This window comes from Homo sapiens, chromosome 19 (genome assembly GCF_000001405.40).
Source record: "Homo sapiens chromosome 19, GRCh38.p14 Primary Assembly".
Classification (NCBI taxonomy): Eukaryota; Metazoa; Chordata; class Mammalia; order Primates; family Hominidae; genus Homo; species Homo sapiens.
The window spans coordinates 53,212,939-53,232,523 of NC_000019.10; the positions used below are offsets into that span (position 1 = coordinate 53,212,939).

At 42.9% G+C, this 19,585-nt stretch overlaps 2 pseudogenes across 1 annotated transcript; one reads left to right on the forward strand and one right to left on the reverse strand.

The window, feature by feature from the left end:
- The first annotated feature begins 9 nt into the window (after nucleotides 1-9).
- ZNF818P (zinc finger protein 818, pseudogene) lies at nucleotides 10-3,164 on the forward strand (annotated as a pseudogene). Its single transcript, NR_073396.1, has one exon. The product of NR_073396.1 is annotated as a zinc finger protein 818, pseudogene (transcript).
- On the reverse strand, nucleotides 10,971-11,941 carry NDUFV2P1 (NADH:ubiquinone oxidoreductase core subunit V2 pseudogene 1; annotated as a pseudogene).

Below are 19,585 nucleotides of genomic sequence, written 5' to 3' on the forward strand. Positions count from 1 at the left end.
CAAGGCCTTTAGACAATGGGCGGACATCAGGATTCACCAAAAAATCTATGCTGGAGAGAAACCTCACAAGTATGATGAGTGTGGAAAAACCTTTACCCAGGCCTCTCACCTCACTATACATCAGATTATCCATACTGGAGAGAAACCATATGAATATGACATATATGGCAAAGTCTTCAGTCAAAATTCACATTTCAAAAGTTATCATAGGATTTGTACTGAAGAGAAGCCTTACAAATGTGTGTGGCAAGGTCCTCAGTCAAAATTCACACCTTGTAAATCATCAGAGAATTCATACTGGAGAGAAATCCTACAGATGTCATGAATGTGGCAAAGCCTTTACTCAAGGCTCACGCTTCATTAATCATCAGATAGTTCATACTGGAGAGAACTTTCCAAATGTACTGAATGTAGCAAGGCTTTTAAGAATGGCCCTAAACTCAGGACTCACCAAATAGATCATACTTGTAAATGCAATGAATGTAGCAGTGTTTTAAAGTAGTGCTTGCTACTCATTAGATAAGAGTATCTAATATATCTTGGGGCAAAGGCACACAAATGCAATGTCTGTGACAAGGATTTTATCTGAGGATCAAAAGTTGGGGAACAGAATAATTCGTACTGGGGAGAAACCTTAGAAATCCAATGAGCATGGGAAAAACTTTACCATGAGTTCAAGTACTACAAGACATCAGAGAGTTCATATTGAAGAGAAACCATGTAAATATAAGGTATGTGGCAGAGGCTCTTTTCAGGTTTCACAGTGCACTGGACATCAGAGTATACATCTTTTGCCGGGCGCGGTGGCTCACACCTGTAATCCCAGCACTTTCGGGAGGCTGAGGTGGGTGGATCACCTGAGGTCAGGAGTTTGAAACCACCCTGGCCAACATGGCGAAACGCTGTCTCTATTAAAAATACAAAAATTAGCTGGGCGTGGTGGTAGGTGCCTGTAATCCCAGCTACTCAGGAGGCTGAGGCACGAGAATTGCTTGAACCTGGGAGATGGAGGTTGCAGTGAGCTGAGATCATGCCACTGCACGCCAGCCTGGGCGACAGAGGAAGACTCCGTCTCAAAAAACAAAACAAAACAAAAAAACAGAGTATACATCTTTTAGAGAAATCAAAGTAACATGCATGCTAAAGCTTTTTTTTTTTTTTTTTTGAGATGGAGTCTTGCACTGTCGCCCAGGTTGGAGTGCATTGGCCCGATCTTGGCTCACCACAACCTCCGCCTCCTGGATTCCAGCAATTCTGCCTCAGCCTCCCAAGTAGCTGGGACTACAGGCGCGTGCCACCACACCCGGTTAATTTTTTGTATTTTTTAGTAGATACGGGGTTTCACCATATCGGCCAGGCTGGTCTCGAACTCCTGACCTCGTGATCTGCCTGCCTCAGCCTCCCAAAGTGCTGGGATTACAGGCTTGAGCTCCTGCGCCCAGCCCATGCTAAGTCTTTTACCCAGTGGTCAAAACTGGCACAACACAGGATTTATACTGGAGAGCAACCTCACAAATGTAATGAAAGTGGTAAGGCTTTTTATCAAATGTCCTTGTCTTTGGGGTCATGAGAAAATTCATACAGAATCTATTAAAAATGTACTAAACATGGAAAGACCTTTAAGCAACAGTGATGTGATGAAGGTGGTAGTTTTTTAAATGAACTCCCATAAGAGTCTACACACCATAGAACTCATACCAGGAATCACAAAGTCTCTAAATTTCCAAAGTTAACTGGAAATATTACAAACTGCAGAATAATTCCAGGCCAAAATATGTTAAATTCATAACATGATGTATATCAAAGGAAAAAAGGACATGTGGAAATGACACATTATCTTCAGTGTATAAAATATTCATTTATGTGAAGTTTCTTGGAAAGGCTACACTACTATTACTGGTTTCCGTCTGATGTTTGAGATCTGTTGATTTTATGCTTTTCTTACAGGCCTTTCATTATGATCTTTGGGAAGGAATCAATAAAATGATAGGGCCTACTTCATTAGGTGTGGTTCATTCCTATTCATGCTCCCTGGAAGAACAAGAATGCTGAATTTTGAAATTTAATATTGTATGAATTAGCATCAGGGAGAGGTGGAGAAAAATACAAAACTAAAAGTCATGCTTATTGTGTTCAGTGTGCCCTTCTCCAGAGGGCCACTGGCTTATAGGAAAGGATTGCTGCTCTACCAGTTGACCAGGAGATGGCACGCCAGGACATTAAGACACTGGAGTTTTGTTTCGTTTTTTTTTTTTTTTTGAGATGGAGTCTCGCTCTCTTGACAGGCAGGAGTACAGTGGTGCGATCTCGGCTCACTGCAAACTCCGCCTCCCGGGTTCAAGTGATTCTCCTGCCTCAGCCTCCCGAGTAGCTGGGACTACAGGCGTGTGCCACCACCCCCAGCTAACTTTTGTATTTTTAGTAGAGACAGGGTTTCACCATGTTAGCCAGGATGGTCTCAATCTCTTGACCTCATGATCCGCCCGCCTCCGCCTTCCAAAGTGCTGGGATTACAGGCGTGAGCCAGTGTGCCCGGCCGACACTGGGCTTTTTATGAGAGTGACAGATTACTAGGACCTCATTATGTGGTAGAAGTAATGTAGGGGAAATGGCGATTATCTTTTTTTAAAAGCAATAGCTGTTGTATATCAATGATAAATGAAAAATTAGTTATTCTTGTAAATTGAAGAAAGAATGGTTATCATAGAGGGTAGTTCAAGTAAAAGAACCAGGGCTGGGTGTGGTGGCTCACGTTCTGTAATCCCTGTACTTTGGGAGGCCAAGGCAGATGGATCTCTTGAGGCCAGGAGTTCGAGACCAGCCTGACCAACATGGCAAAACCGTGTCTCTACAAAAAATACAAAAATTAGCCGGACATCGTGGTAGATGCCTGTAATCTCAGATATTCAGGAGACCGAGGGGAAAATCACTTGAACCCGGGAGACGGAGGTTGCAGTGAGCTGAGATCGCACCACTGCTCGCCAGCCTGGGCAACAGAGTGAGACTCTGCCTCAAAAAAAAACCAAACCAAACCAAAGAACCAGAATAGCATGTGCACATATACACAGACGTTTCACAACTGGCATTATGTTTTGCTACTGTTTTATTTACAATGTATCACAAGTTTTATGCTTTAATAAAATTTAATCATAACTTCTAATGAATCATGTTTCTTCTGCCACCACAGTTTTATCTCACCTCAGTTGGGTATTTCATAACAGATAGTAATAGTGCACCATTAGGCTCTCTAGGTTGAAGGAGTCTTGCAGGGGAACATGAGGTTTGTGCTTTAACTGTGGCAACTGACATCCAGTATCCTCCCCTTTAATTTGTTCTCATCCAAAACTAATCCATCTGTTTTTCTTTAATAAGTGATTTTTCAAGTTTGCACTTACTTTTTCCTTTACATTACACTTTAAGTAAGAGTCACTGTTATTAGTGCTTTATGTGTAATAACAACCTGTGAGATAAGTACTGATGTTATTCACATATCACAAACGAGGAAACTTAGGGCCAAGATGCTTTAAGGACTCATCCACATCCCTGTAAGTGGGTGAATCAGGATTCACGTTTGGCTGCAAAGATGAGTGATATAGTTTGGATCTGTGTCCCTGCCCAGATTTCCTGTCAAATGGTAATCCCCAGTGTTGGAGGTGGGACCTGATGGGAGGTGATTGGATCATGGGGGCAGATTCCCCTGTGGTGCCGTTCTTGTGATGGTGAGTTCTCATGAGATCTGGTTGTGTAAAAGTGTGTGGCACCTCCCCCTCTCTCTCTTCCTTCTGCTCTGGTCATGTGAAGTGCCTGCTCCCACTTTGCCTTCCGCAATCATTCTAAGTTTCCTGAGGCCTACTCAGGAGCTGAGCAGATGCCAGCATCATACTTCCTGTACAGCATGCAGAACTGTGGCCAATTAAACCTCTTTTCTTCATAAATTACCCAATATCAGGTATTTACCCAATATCAGGTATTTCTTCATAGCAGTGCAAGAATGGACCAATACAATGAATGTGTTAACCATGGCGATCCACTAACATGGCTAGTTTTCTTTTCTTTCTTTTTTTTTTTTTTTTTTTGAGATGGAGTTTCGCTCTTGTTGCCCAGGCTGGAGTGCAATGGTGCGACCTTGACTCACTGCAACTTCTGCCTCCTGGGTTCAAGCAATTCTCCTGCCTCAGCCTCCTGAGCAGCTGGGATTACAGGTGTGCACCACCAAGCCCGGCTAATTTTGTATTTTTAATAGAGATGGGGTTTCACCATGTTGGTCAGGCTGGTCTTGAACTTCTGACCTCAGATGATCCACCCGCCTCGGCCTCCCAAAGTGCTGGGATTACAGGTGTGAGCCACCATGCCCAGCATGGCTAGTTATTTCTATCTTTCATGTACTTGACATCTTGACTTAATTTTGTTAGTATCTTTTGTCATAGTGGTTTATCTTTACACATAATTGTGACTGTAGTAAGTATTACATCTATATTTTTATTTCATGGGCCAAATTACTATAAATACATACTTAAATAAGATATAAATACACTGATTACCACATAATCCCAGAAGAAAGATTGTCCAAGATGAAATTGCATTTATTGACCCAAGAATGGTTCACAATTTATGATGGAGAGAGATTTTCCTCAAGCAAGGAACAAGATTCAAATACCAGCTGTTGAAATAATTGCACAATATTGTGAGCTAAGCTATAGAATCTGAAATGTAAGACATAAAACATTGGCCAGGCGTGGTGGCTCAAGCCTGTAATCCCAGCACTTTGGGAGGCCAAGGTGGGTGGATCACAAGGTCAGGAGATCGAGACCATCCTGGCTAACACGGTGAAACCCCCTCTCTACTAAAAATACAAAAAATTATCTGGGTATGGTGGCACATGCCTGTAGTCCCAGCTATTCACAAGGCCGAGGTGGGAGAATCACTTGAATCTGGGAGGCAGAGTTTGCAATAAGCCAAGATTGTGCCACTGCACTCCAGGCTGGGCAACAGAGTGAGACTCCATCTCAAAAAATAAATAAGTAAAAAAAAAAAAAATTTTAGCGTACAGACTAAATTATTGATTTTAGATAATATAATTATTTGTTCATTAATGGATGGCTATTAACAGCAACTTTATTATAATTAATGTAATAATTGAAATATACTCAAAAGATGTAAAATTGTACCTGGAAGATACGGAAATGTGTTCATTAAGTAAATTGATATAGTTAGATTTGTAGTGAGTTCAGAGTTAACACTGGAATTTAAAAAACAGGTTTGTTGAGATCTAATTTATATCCATAAAATTGTTTCATTTTAAGTATATAATTCATTGACTTTTAATACACTTGCTATAAGTTGTGAAACCATCCCCACATTCAAATCTTAGAACATTTCTATCAGCTGCCCCCGAAAAGATATTTTTTAACAAAAAAAAAGAAAAATATCACATGATATATTTGAATGTGTAAACTGCCGAAGTTATATTGGTATGAAAGCCACACTGGTGACATTAACGTTTTCTAAAATGTTTCTTTTGTGAACTCCGGAGGGAAGTTACTCTCACTGTAGTCACCAGACAATAGAGATGTCCTGTTTAAATGCAATTATTGTCTCCGTTTAGCACATGGTAAGGCCAGCATTGGAGAAAAGACGCATATTCTAGCCACGTTCACCCAGACACATAGTTTCTGTAATAATGAGATCACTGTATTCCATTTTTAACGTCATTGTATGCATAGAGGTTTTACAATAATTACTCTATTATCCTGAAAATAATATCAGGGACTCTTGTATGGCAGCTAAATCAGAGTTTAAAACCACAGAAAAGTTTAATCTCACATTGAATGCTACATAGATAAAATATCAATAGTCACCATCAGGGATTGGTGTGGGGGATAGGACCTCTAGTCTGTCTCCACAGACTCAGTCTGTATCTCAGAAATTATTTCTCCTACTTTTGTATCTTTGCCACAGGAATAGTTTCTACTCCAGAGGAATCTCCTTTTTCAGATGTGAGCACTCACAGAGACCCAGCATACTCCTGTTTCCCTTACATACAGACTCTGCCTCACATTCTAAAATAGAAAATACTCATCTGATTTCTTCTTACTGCCAGGACTTTGGGCTTAGTATGATGTCCTAGTGTGTGTAGGGGGAGGGAGCCAGCCAGTCTCTGAGTTATGAGTTTGTCATTTGAGATACCATCTTTTCATAGAACTACAATGGTCAATTCACCATGAGTGCATGCTTGCTTCTGAAAAACTTTTCATTACCAATTATCAGAAACAACTTCAAGTTCCTAATGAACATCACCAAAGAGATATTTGGAGTGTTATGTAGAGGCCGTTCTATTTCCAAGATCCGTGAAGACAGACTGTGGCTCTTATGGAGGAAGCAGAAAATGCTGAGGTCTGAACACCTGATGGACAGTAATGCTGAAAATCTTTGTATTTGCCTATTGGGTTTGTGGATCTGCTTCAGTGAAATGTTCTTAAATATCTTTGCCTTTTTCTAATTCATTTTTAATAGACTTTTTAAACAGCAGTTTTAGGTTTACAACAAAATTAAGTGGAAGGTAGAGATTTCCCATATACACTGTACCCCCACGCAAGGACAGCCTCCCCCATTATTAACAACCCACCAGAGTGGTACATTTGTTACAATCAATGAACCTCCATTGACGTATCATTATCACCCAAAGTTCATGTTTACATTAAGGTTCACTTTTGTGTTGTATAGTCTGAGTCTGGACAAATGTATGAAGCCATGTATTCACCATCATGGTATCATATAAGGTACTTTTACTGTCCTCAAAATCCTCTGTGCTCCACCTAGATTGTCTTCCTTCTTTCAGTTCTATCACTTGTTTCACACGTTTTGCAGCTCTCTGTCCTATATTGTCAATTATTCCCAATTAATTATCACCCTCCTATGAAATTATACAACTCTGCCCTTTGATATCAGGCATGGCCCTTGACTTGAGGCAATGCTTCAAGTCAAGGATTGAAATTCCTTGCCCAATTTATGATAGGCTTGGCTTTGTGAATTCCTTGGCCAATTTGGTGTGAGTAGAGATGACATGTTTCAATTTTTAAAAATATTTTTTTTTAAATAAGAAACTATCAATAAGTTGGAGAAACTGTCAACTTATTTGTTGATTGTCCGTGTCAATTTTCTCTAATTAATTTATAATCATTTAGACTATTTTCAGCTCCTTAAAAAATTGTTTCTCATGGGTATGTCCTTTGGTTGATATAAGCCACCTTCCTCAAGTAGGTCAATGTCATTCTTGTAGCTTTTTTCTTTATTCTTAGGCTTATTGCAGGAATGATATAAAATTCTTTGCTCAGAGAAAATAACTAAAACTCCCCCAAAGGCAGTTGACTCACCAGAGTTCTCGAATGACTTGGAAATCGGTAAAATGCAGATTCCCAGGCTGCATCAAGCCCAGCTGAATTCATCTGGACAGTGTTTTTGTTTTCAACAGTTTTACTGAGATGCAGCTGATACATAGTTATGCACCGCATAACAATATTTTGGTCAATAAAGGACTGCATATATAATGGTGGTCCCATTAGAATACTGTATTTTTACCATACCATTTCCATGTTTGGACATGTTTAGATACACAAATACCATGGTGTTACAATTGCCTATGATAACATGCTGTCCCCATTTGTAGCCTAGGATCAACAGTCTATATGGTGAAACCCTGTCTCTACTAAAAATACAAAAATTAGTCGGGCATGGTGGTGTGTGCCTGTAGTCCCAGCTGCTCAGGAGGCTGAGGCAGGAGAATCGAACCATGGAAGTGGAGGTTGCAGTGAGCCGAGTCTATTGTAAATTATTGTAAAAAGTCTATATGGTTTAGCCTAGGTGTGTAGTAGGCGATCCCATGTAGCTTTGTGTAAGTACACCCTATGACGTTAGCACAATGATGAAATCAACAAATTTCTCAGCACACATCCTCATCATTAGGTGACCCATGACTGTGCTATAAAAGGCTGCACATATTGAGGGTGAGGTCAGCTTGGGGCCCCACTTGCTCAGGGGGCAGGCTCTACCCAGACAGCTGGCACCCCTCAGCTATATGCATCCATCCTTAGGCAGGGAAAACTCAAGAGTCATCTCTACTCCCTGCTGTGCGCAACCCTTTGAGTACCTGGTTCTGCCAAGAAAGCTACAAAATTGTGCGGCTCCAGGGCAGCAACTCGTGGATCATGCTCCCGAGGCCTGGTGAGAGAAACTTGCCTGTTCGAATTTAAATGGAAGCTAGAAGAGGCTTCATTTGCTTCTTCTAACCCTCTCTTTTCTCTGCTACTAATATGGTATGTCCTGATAGAGACTGAATCTTACCCTGAATCCCAGCATCGCATTGTGGAACTAAGTGCTGAATAATAATAGTTCTGAGGAAGAAATAAACGTTTGTTCTTGCAAGCCTCTGAGAATTCAAAGATATTTGCTACCACATTACAACTTCCAGAAAGCTGAAAGTACACTTTCAATGACCTGTTTTTTCTTTACTCACCTTAACCTTCCAAATCCACAGTTACAGATAGTAGCTCATTATCTCCACTACTTGTACGAACTTTGAAATCTGCATTTGAGAATTTTCTTCATATGATTACTTTCTTCCTTTCCGTTTTATATGTTTTACTTCCATTAGAATAACCATTTATTTTAGGCTGGGCGCAGTGGCTCACACCTGTAATCCCAGCGCTTTGGATTTGTGCTTTGGCGGGCAGATTACAAGGTCAGGAGTTTGAGACCAGCCTGGCTAACATGGTGAAACCCTGTCTCTATTAAAGATACAAAAAATTAGCTGGGCATGGTGGCACACGCCTATAATCCCAGCTACTCCGGAGGCTGGGGCAGAAGAATCACTTGAACCCGGGAAGCAGAGGTTGCAGTGAGCCAAGATGGCACCATTGCACTCCACCCTGGGTGACAGTGCGAGACTCCGTCTCAAAAAAAGAAAAAAAAACCATTTATTTTTAATTCATCTAGAAATATATTACCTTTTATTATGTGACCACCCTCAATGAACTATTTGTTCTCTCACTTATAACTTTACCCAATTGGTTTATCATCATCAGATATTTGTAAATATCTTCAAGAAACTTGCCCTCTTTCACCCTGCCTCCTTCACCTTACTAATCATCAGAATCAGACATGCTCAGTTACTGACTATGGTCCCCTTACAATCAGGAAGTTCACATTGATGACAAAACAAAAACAAAAAGAAAACCCCAAGCAAACAAACAAATTAAAAAAAACCTCTAGCTCTACTAAAAATACAAAAAATAGCCCTCTCCCTCTCCCTCTCCCTCTTTCTCCCTCTCCCTCTCCCCACGGTCTCCCTCTCCCTCTCTTTCCATGGTCTCCCTCTGATGCCGAGCTGAAGCTGGACGGTACTGCTGCCATCTCAGCTCACTGCAACCTCCCTGCCTGATTCTCCTGCCTCAGCCTGCCCAGTGCCTGCGATTGCAGGCGCGCGCCGCCACGCCTGACTGGTTTTCGTATTTTTTTGGTGGAGACGGGGTTTCGCTGCGTTGGCCGGGCTGGTCTCCAGCTCCTAGCCGCGAGTGATCCGCCAGCCTCCGCCTCCCGAGGTGCCGGGATTGCAGACGGAGTCTGGTTCACTCAGTGCTCAATGGTGCCCAGGCTGGAGTGCAGTGGCGTGATCTCGGCTCGCTACAACCTCCACCTCCCAGCCGCCTGCCTTGGCCTCCCAAAGTGCCGAGACTGCAGCCTCTGCCCGGCCACCACCCCGTCTGGGAAGTGAGGAGCGTCTCTGCCTGGCCGCCCATCGTCTGGGACATGACGAGCCCCTCTGCCTGGCTGTCCAGTCTGGAAAGTGAGGAGCGTCTCTGCCCAGCCACCCATCGTCTGAGATGTGGGGAGCGCCTCTGCCCCGCCGCCCCATCTGGGATGTGAGGAGCACCTCTAACCGGCCGCGACCCCGTCTGGGAGGTGAGGAGCGTCTCTGCCCGGCCGCCCCGTCTGAGAAGTGAGGAGCCCCTCCGCCCGGCAGCCAACCTGTCTGGGAAGTGAGGAGCGTCTCCGCCTGGCAGCCACCTCGTCCGGGAAGGAGGTGGGGGGGTCAGCCCCCCGCCTGGCCAGCCGCCCTGTCCGGGAGGTGAGGGGCGCCTCTGCCCGGCCGCCCCTACTGGGAAGTGAGGAGCCCCTCTGCCCGGCCACCACCCCGTCTGGGAGGTGTACCCAACAGCTCATTGAGAACGGGCCATGATGACAATGGCGGTTTTGTGGAATAGAAAGCGGGGAAAGGTGGGGAAAAGATTGAGAAATCGGATGGTTACCGTGTCTGTGTAGAAAGAAGTAGACATGGGAGACTTTTCATTTTGTTCTGTACTGAGAAAAATTCTTATCCTGTTGATCTGGAACCTTACCCCCAACCCCGTGCTCTCTGAAACATGTGCTGTGTCCACTCAGGGTTAAATGGATTAAGGGCGGTGCAAGATGTGCTTTGTTGAACAGATGCTTGAAGGCAGCATGCTCCTTAAGAGTCATCACCACTCCCTAATCTCAGGTACCCAGGGACACAAACACTGCGGAAGGCCGCAGGGTCCTCTGCCTAGGAAAACCAGAGACTTTTGTTCACTTGTTTATCTGCTGACCTTCCCTCCACTATTGTCCTATGACCCTGACAAATCCCCCTCTGCGAGGAACACCCAAGAATGATCAATAAAAAAAATAAAAATAAAAATAAAAAAATAAAAAAAAAAACCTCTAGGCTTAGGGGCTTTGTGTTAAATGCGAGTTACAATAAAATTGCCGACGTTCATCCAAGGGTGCTGTTTCCCAATGTGTCATACGGCAACAGAAAATGTCTTCCAACTGGGGTGTTTAGACCACTTCCTTTTAAAGTGATTATTATATGGTTAAACTATCTTGGTATTGGTTTTGTTTTTGCCTTTGTTCTTTCTTCTCTTTTCTTTCGTTGCCTTGGGTTTTGTTTTGTTTTGTTTATGTAGACTGGAAGTCCATATTTTATTTCTCTAGTGACATATTTACAGTTCAATATAAATTAAAGGCCTGCTTGTATGCCAAATCCAGGTCCCTTGGGTGGTTCAGTCAAAGGGGTAAGACCTCCAGCTGGCTCACAAGAGAAGCGTCCACTCCTTGGCCCAGGTTTTGGGATTTTGCCAGCCTTGAGCTCATCAATAATTTCTTCAATATCCTTAGCTGTCAAATCTTCATAGTAATTGTCATTTATTTGAACCATTGGTGCGTTCACACAGGCCCCTAAACATTCCACTTCTACAAGAGTGAAAAGTTTGTCAGGTGTAGTCTCCCCAAGCTTTATTCCAAGCTTTTTCTGAATGGCCTCCAGTATGCTGTCAGAGTTTGGAAGCATGCAGGGTGTAGTAGTGCAGACCTGAATGTGATACTTTTCAACTGGCTTTCGATTATACATTGTATAAAAAGTTGCTACTTCATATACTCTTATTGGAGGTACTTGTAAAACTTCTGCAACCTTGTTCATAGCAGAGATGGGCAACCACCCATTCTGCCTTTGGGCTAAATCCAGGACTGGAAGAACAGCTGCTGCTTTATGGCCTTCTGGATAGTTTTTTACAATTGCCTCTATCCTCTTATAGTTTTCTGGTGTGAAATCAAATGGAGTATCAGGGTTATTCTCAGGAGTATCTCTGTGCACAAATAAAGCTCCTCCAGCTCCATTTTGCATAGCTGTCTTATGCAATTCCTCACATGTCTTCCGGTGGGGCTGCAGCGGCCTCCCTAAGAGGGCTAAGGCCGTAGTGTCCTTGCCGCCGCCTGCAGGCCCGTGTAGAGCCCAGGGCTCTCCTGCGCCCAAAACTAAGGGAGACACGGAGAGCAAGAGAAGGGCGGCGGCAGCGCCGGGCTCAGCTTGAGCCTCCTTACCCAGTGGGCGGTAAGGCCAGCGGCCCGGGCCCGGAGCGCCGCGGAGAAGGCCTTTGGGTTTTTAAGTGGCTCTCTTCCAATTCCTTTTTTGGCTTTAGTGTTAACGATAACCAAATTTTTAGCATTTGCTTTAGGGGGGTTATACTATACAGCTTATCACAGCCTACCTTCCAGTGATTCCATACGACTTCATGTAAAGCATCAGATCCTTACCCATGTATACTTTCATTTCACAACTGTTGGTGTGTGTGCTGTCATTATCATACATCTAACTTTTAGATAACCTACAAGTGGCTCCAGGGCAGCAACTCATGGATCATGCTCCCGAGGCAGATTGTTATTTTCTAAACAGTTACATTTTAAAGAGATTTAAACGGAAGAAATACGTTTAAAAATTACCCATGTGGGGCCGGGTGCGTTGGCTCACGCCTGTAATCCCAGCACTTTGGGAGGCCGAGGCGGGCGGATCACGTGAGGTCAGGAGTTCGAGACCAGCCTGACCAACAAGGAGAAACCCTGTCTCTACTAAAAATACAAAATTAGCCGGGCATGCTGGCGCAGGCCTGTAATCCCAGCTACTCGGGAGGCTGAGGCAGGAGAATCGCTGGAACCCGGGAGGCGGAGGTTGTGGTGAGCCGAGATCGCACCGTTCCATTCCAGCCTGGGCAGCAAAAGCGAAACTCCGTCTCAAAAACAAAAAACGAAAAACAAAAACAAAAACAAAACAAACAAAAAAATTACCCATGTGGTTACTATTTCTGGCACTCCTCATTCTTTTGTGTAGATCATGTGTTACGAAACACAAGTCAAATATGAATTACTGAGAGAGGAGGCAGGGCTTGGACTCCAGACCAGATTGAAAACTAGCTGAAACAGGGAAGAGGCAAAAGCACCTCTCCATAAGACACGCCCCCCATTGCCATGTCAGTTTACCACTGCCATCGCAACACCTGGAAGTGACCACCCCTTTCCACCGCAATGACCTGGAAGTGACCACACCCGTTCTAGAAATTTCTGAATAACCTGCCCCTTAGTTTGCATGTAATTAAAAGTGGGCATAAATATGACTGCAGACCTGCCTCTGAGCTGCTACTTTGAGCACACTCCTTTTGGGGTAGCCGTGCCCTGCAAGGAGCCGTTCATCTGCTGCTGCTGTTGCCGCCGCTCCAATAAAAGTTGCTACCCCACTTTGGGAGGCTGGGGCGGGTGGATCACCTGAGGTCAGGAGTTTGAGACCAGCCTGACCAACATGGTGAAGGCCCGCCCCCATCTCTACTAAATATGCAAAAATTAGCTGGGCGTGGTGGCACAAGCCTGTGATCCCAGCTACTCAAGAGGCTGAAGCAGGAGAGTCGCCTGAACCTGGAAGGCAGAGGTTGCAGTGAGCTGAGGTAGCGCCATTGCACTCCAGGCTGGGCAACAAGAGCAAAACTCCGTCTCGGGGGGGGGTGGGGGGGAGGTGCTACCCACTACCAGTTCACCCTTGAATTATTTCCTGAGCGAATCCCCAGTCTGGGGGCTCACCTGCCCTGCATCATCACCATCTGTTTTTAAATAATGTTTACTTGGAACATGGCCAAACCCACGTGTAGGTACTATTGATCCATTAAAGGCAGAGTAGGGTATTTGCAACCGTATAGCCTGCAAAGAATAAAATACCACTTGGCCCTTTAAAGTTTGTCGATTTCTCATGTAGAGTCATATTCTCTTTTTTCTTTTGAGACCGAGTCTTGCTTTTGTCGCCCAGACTGGAGTGCAGTGGTGTGATCTCGGCTCACTGCAACCTCCATCTCCTGGGTTCAAGTGATTCTCCTGCCTCAGCCTCCCGAGTAGCTGGGATTACGGGTGCTCACCAGAACGCCCGGCTAATTTTTGTATTTTTAGTAGACATGGGATTTCACTATGTTGGCCAGGCTAGTCTCGAACTCCTGACCTCAGGTGATCCACCCGCCTCGGCCTCCCAAAGTGCTGGGATTGCAGGCGTGAGCCACCGCGCCTGGCTGAGAGTCATATTTTCATCACATATCTGAATTACAATAAAGTTGGGGCAATAAAGCGTACAGTCAGTTTTGTAATCCAGTGTAAGGGGAACACAAGGTTTCTCCTAATTGGAAAAGAATAACTGGTAGGTCTTTTCCCTTATACCAGGGAAAACATAGGAAATACGTGATTGTGTTGCTATTTGATTTGAAACTACAGTAATGGCTGGGCGCAGTGGCTCAGGCCTGTAATCCTGGCACTTTGGGAGGCCGAGGCGGGTGGATCACCTGAGGTCAGGAGTTCGAGACCAGCCCAACCAACATGGGGAAACCCCATTTCTACTAAAAATACAAAAAATTAGCCGGGCGTGGTGGTGCATGCCTGTAACCACAGCTACTCAGAGAATTGCTTGAACCTGGGAGGCGGAGGTTGCGGTGAGCCAAAATCGCACCACTGCACTCCAGCATGGGCAACAAGAGCGAAACTCCATCTCAAAAAAAAAAAAAAAAAAAAAAAAAAAAAAAAAAAAAAAAAAAAAAAAAAAAGAAAGAAAGAAACTACGGTATTTTATGTGAAAATAATTTTTGATGACATTGACAGTAAAGATAAAAACTGGGGCTTAAAAACTCCACTAATTTTACTTGACATGCATTCATAAGAGGAAGTAGCAACATACCCCTAAGTGGCCCCAGGGGTAGATGGCAGAGGTGTGTATCCTAACAAGTCTTTGCAGAACTGGTATCATCAAATCTCTCAGACAGTTTTGACAAATGGTATTTACTATCTTTTCATTAACTCATTACCTCACCCTACCCCCACGTCTCCCCAGCAGCTGAGAGGCTCCTGTAAATAAATTTGTCTGTGCATTCCACAAATAGGTCATCATGATTCTGGATCCACACTTGTATCTTAACCCCTCTAGGAAAAGAATTGTTACAAGAATCAACGTGCAAAAATATAAACAGTTTATATAGGTGTTTTGACTTTTAGGTCCCCCGAAATAAAAAAATTGTGAACCATAAGAAGTCTCAAATTTTAAATGTCTCCAACAGATATGATCACACACCTCACCAAGCCACGCGCTGATTGTGGATATTCCTCAATCATTATAAACATGTTCCCATCCTGACAATTTTCTCCATTTCCTCTGCCCAATTATTTTTCCCCATTTGTATCTATATGACAGAGTCCAATTACTGATTTTGCTCAAATATCATCTTATCCTATGGGTATTTCCTGAACAGTTTAAATTAGGACATCCTGTCACTCTGTCACTACATGTACACTTTGTTGAACTTATCCTCCTATTATAATTATTGCTGACTTACCCGTATAGAACATAAGATACTTGAGAGCAGGGAACTGGTTCAGTTTCTTGCTAGATCATCAATGATTAGAATAATCCCTGAGAGCAGGGACTCTGTGCGTTTGTATTGAATGAATGAATGAACGAATGAACGAATGCATTTTTTTCGATGCAAAGAAGAAAGTTACTGCAATGCATAGGCTCGTAGATTAGCAGGTCATAATTCTACTTTTATTCCCACATTTTGTATCTCAGGCAACATGAACTAAATAGATCCACCTCAGCAGTGGAAAAAGGTTTTCATGAAGTTTTTCTAAGCCATGAAAATGGAAGATTCACTCTCAAATGCTGCATTCTATTCCCAGTGAAAAATAACAATCTTATTTGTCAGGTAGAAAAATTTTTGTAACGACAATCTGAAAAACAGGGACTAAAAAACAAGTAGGAAGTTTATCTTTCTCACATAATAGCAAGTCCGGAGGCTGCAGTTTGGGATGTGGCAGATCCTCTTGAGAAGTCCATTCTGCCTACTCTACCTCCATCAGCACTCAGCCTTCCTTCTCCTTGAGGAGAATGCAGATGGCTGGTGTATGACTGAGAAGGGTATAGGATAAGGGGCAAAACCATTTTCATTTTGAGGCTTTGTCTTGTTTACCTGAAAACAATATTTCCATATTTTTTTCCCAAAGAATATTAATTCTGTTAAATGGCTACTGTAATTTTAATGAAGAACGGGGATTTTCAAATTTCATATTCACACATCAAAAACAGAGGAAGAGAAAGAAACAATTAAGTTAGAAAGCCAGGAACAGTGGCTCATGCCTGTAATCCCAGCACTTTGGGAGGCTGAGGTTGGAGGATCGTTTGAGCTTGAGCACAGGAGTTCAAGACCAGCCTGAGCAACACAGTGAGACCTCATCTCTACAAAAAAATTAAAAAGTTAGCCAGGTGTAGTGGCAACACCTGTGGTCCCAGGTACTCGGGAGGCTGAGGTGGGAGGATCATTTGAGCCCAGGAGGTTGAGGCTACAACAAGCTGTGATCACACTACTGCACTGCAGCCTGGGCTGGACAGAGGGACACCCTTTCTCAAACAACAGCAACAACAAAACCCACAAACATGTTGCAGACCAAATACCTGTTACCAATTATATTAATGACAACGTGGTCACCATAATTTTGGGAAGAGCCAGATTACATTAACTGACTTTGTTCTTTATCCTGAGAGTCTAATATTATATATAGCCTATCGCCTGTCTTTTGGGTGTTCAAAAAGAAAGACAAAAATTATTAAACGTCCTTACTGTTTTTTTTTAACTTACAGATTTACTTCTATTGAGCTCTATTTGTATCTAAATAAAAATATTTCTCCAAGTTTTAATATATTCTAATTCCACTATCAAGGTAGGAAAATGAATTTGAGATTTAAAAAAAAATTCATGCCCTCTTACCTTAAAGTGAGAGAGGTAAACACTTCCAAATGTATTTTCATATTAGACTATAACCGAAAGGTAATCTGTTATATCATAACTTGGGGATTTTCAGAGGGAGCCTATATTTCCAATGAAGCATTAAAGACCTTCACAGGATTTCCTTGCATATATAGAATATACTCAATTGAGGGTGAACATTTAAAATGTTTAAGGCTATATTTGTTCCAAAAAATGAATAATCCCATCTTGTTTTAGTTTTCAATTTGTTTAGTTTCCCTTTTTATTCGTTGCTTTTCCACATGTAAAATATTTTTGTCTCTAAAGTCAAAATTATATTACAAATATATGAAAATCCCTATTCTGTTTTGCCTTCTCAAACTTTTTATTTTCTTAAATAGGTTTCTTGATAGGTATTAATTTCAGATTTTTTTTATCACAAAGAGAATACCATATATGATATTCTATACCTTGTTTTTTAGGTATGGTGGTGATCACTCCAATATGACTTTCCTCATTCTTTTTTTTTCTTTTTTTTTTTTTGAGATGGAGTCTCACTCCGTTGCCCAGGCTGGAGTGCAGTGGCGCGATCTCGGCTCATGCAACCTCTGCCTCCCGGGTTCAAGCGATTCTCCTGCCTCAGCCACCAGAGTAGCTGGGATTACAGGCATGCGCCACCATGCCCAGCTAATTTTTCTATTTTTAGTAGAGACGGGATTTCACCATGTTGGTCAGGTTGGTCTCGAACTCCTGACCTTGTTGTGATCTGCCCACCTCCGCCTCCCAAAGTGCTGGGATTACAGGCATGAGCCACCGCGCCCAGCCCTGACTTTCCTCATTCTTTTAACAGCTTCACATACATAGCCAACATTCCCCTAATTTCTCAGCCACCTTGCCTCAAGTTAAAACCATGAGACCGGTTTTGCCAAACAGGGTGTAAGTGTAATGTATCACTTTCAGGCCAAACCACTTAAAACTAAGTGTGACCTTCTTGCTTGTTTCCTTTGCAATAATCAGAGGCCCATTTTTGAGATAGAGAAACCATAATATGGAAGCCCCTCCATCTCTGAGTTACCACATAAGCATCAGTTGCCCTACAGGGTCAACTATCCCAGTGGTGCAATTGACAGAAAAGACTCATTTTATACAGTAAGCTTCCAGGATTTAACAAAAAAGGTTTTGTATCTCCGGGCACCACAGGACATGCCATTCCTTACAAGACTTTTAAAAGCAAAGCCTAGACAGCTTTAGCAATACCCTCTTTCTTGACAAACTGTTAGAGATCTAGGCCTGAAGGGCAAGGAAAGGACAATAAAGTCTGTCTTTCTACATCATTTGCTTCTCAGTGATGCTCATCAAATTGCTATCAATCACTGTGTCATGTTTCCACTGCCAATTTTTTTAGATATTCACAATACAGCCCCCAAACCCCAACCTATCCTGTGTCTTAGTCCATTTTTTGTTGCTGTAACAGAAAACCTGACCTGGGTAATTTATATGTATGTATATAATTTATGTATGTGTATATATATAATTTATTTCTTCCAGCTCTGGAGGCTGGGAAGTCCAAGGCTGAGCGGCTACATGTGGTGAGGGCCTTCTTGCTGCATCATAACAGAAGTCATCACATGGTGAGAAGGAGGAAGCATGCCAGCTCAGCTCTCTTTTCCTCTTCTTATAAGGCTACTAATCCCAACATAGGGAGCCACCCCCATAACTTCATCTATCCCTAATTACCTCCCAAAGGCTCCCACCTCTAAATACCATCAACATATGGATTTGAGGATTCAATTTCCAACATGAACTTTTGGGGAATACATTTGAACATGGCACCCAGTCACCATTTCCTAAAAGAATAATACTGCAGGTACCCAAAACAACTGAACAAAGACATTAGGCACCATTTGCATTCCCTCTCAAAGTTTCTAAAACCATCTCCAGTTTTGAGGTCAATATGTCTCAGCTACTTTTCTATACTGCAATGTCCTTTGTCCACTTAACAGTACCACCACTGCAATCTGGTGCTCAGAACTGTTTTCCAGAAGGCGTTTCCTGTATGGTTCTTGCTAAACTTTGCCAATGAGAAAAACCTGAATGGGCCAGGCGCAGTGGCTCACAACTGTAATCCCAGCACTATGGGAGGCTGAAGTGGGTGGACTGCTTGAGGTCAGGAGTTCAAAACCAGACTGGGCAACATGGCGAAAACCTGTCTCTACCAAAAATACAAAAATTAGCCCGTCTCTTAACCCGGTCTCAAAATAAATAGATAATAAATTAAAAATAAAAAAAAATTTAAAATGCTGTTAAAAAAAAAAAAAAAGGAAAACCTGAATGGAATAGGAAAGGCAGAAGTGAAGCACTAAGCCATTAATCTCAGATGAATACTGCACAGACCTCACCATCTCTAATCCCAATCAAGCAGCCAGAAGCAGTAACTTCTAAGACATCTCCATGAGCTCTGGTTTCTCACTGAAGCTGCCAGTGACTATTTTTCTTTGATATTCCTGCTGGAGTCTTCCACACCTTTCACTGCTCAAGCACCTCCAAAATTCTTTTTATTTTATTTTTTTTTTTTTGAGACGGAGTCTCGCTCTGTGGCCCAGGCTGGAGTGCAGTGGCACGATCTCAGCTCACTGCAAGCTCCGCCTCCTGGGTTCACGCCATTCTCCTGCCTCGGCCTCCTGAGTAGCTGGGACTGCAGGCCCCCCACTACCACGCCCCGATAATTTTTTGTATTTTTAGTAGAGACGGGGTTTCATCGTGTTAGCCAGGATGGTCTCGATCTCCTGACCTCGTGATCCGCCCACCTCAGCCTCCCAAAGTGCTGGGATTACAGGTGTGAGCCACCGCGCCCAGCAAAAATTCTTAACATATAACTATTCTTATTCTTGAAGTAATTGTATACGTTTTCCTAAACACAGACTAATACAATCATTCAGAATAAAGCTAATTCCATGTTTTCAAAGTTTATTCATCAC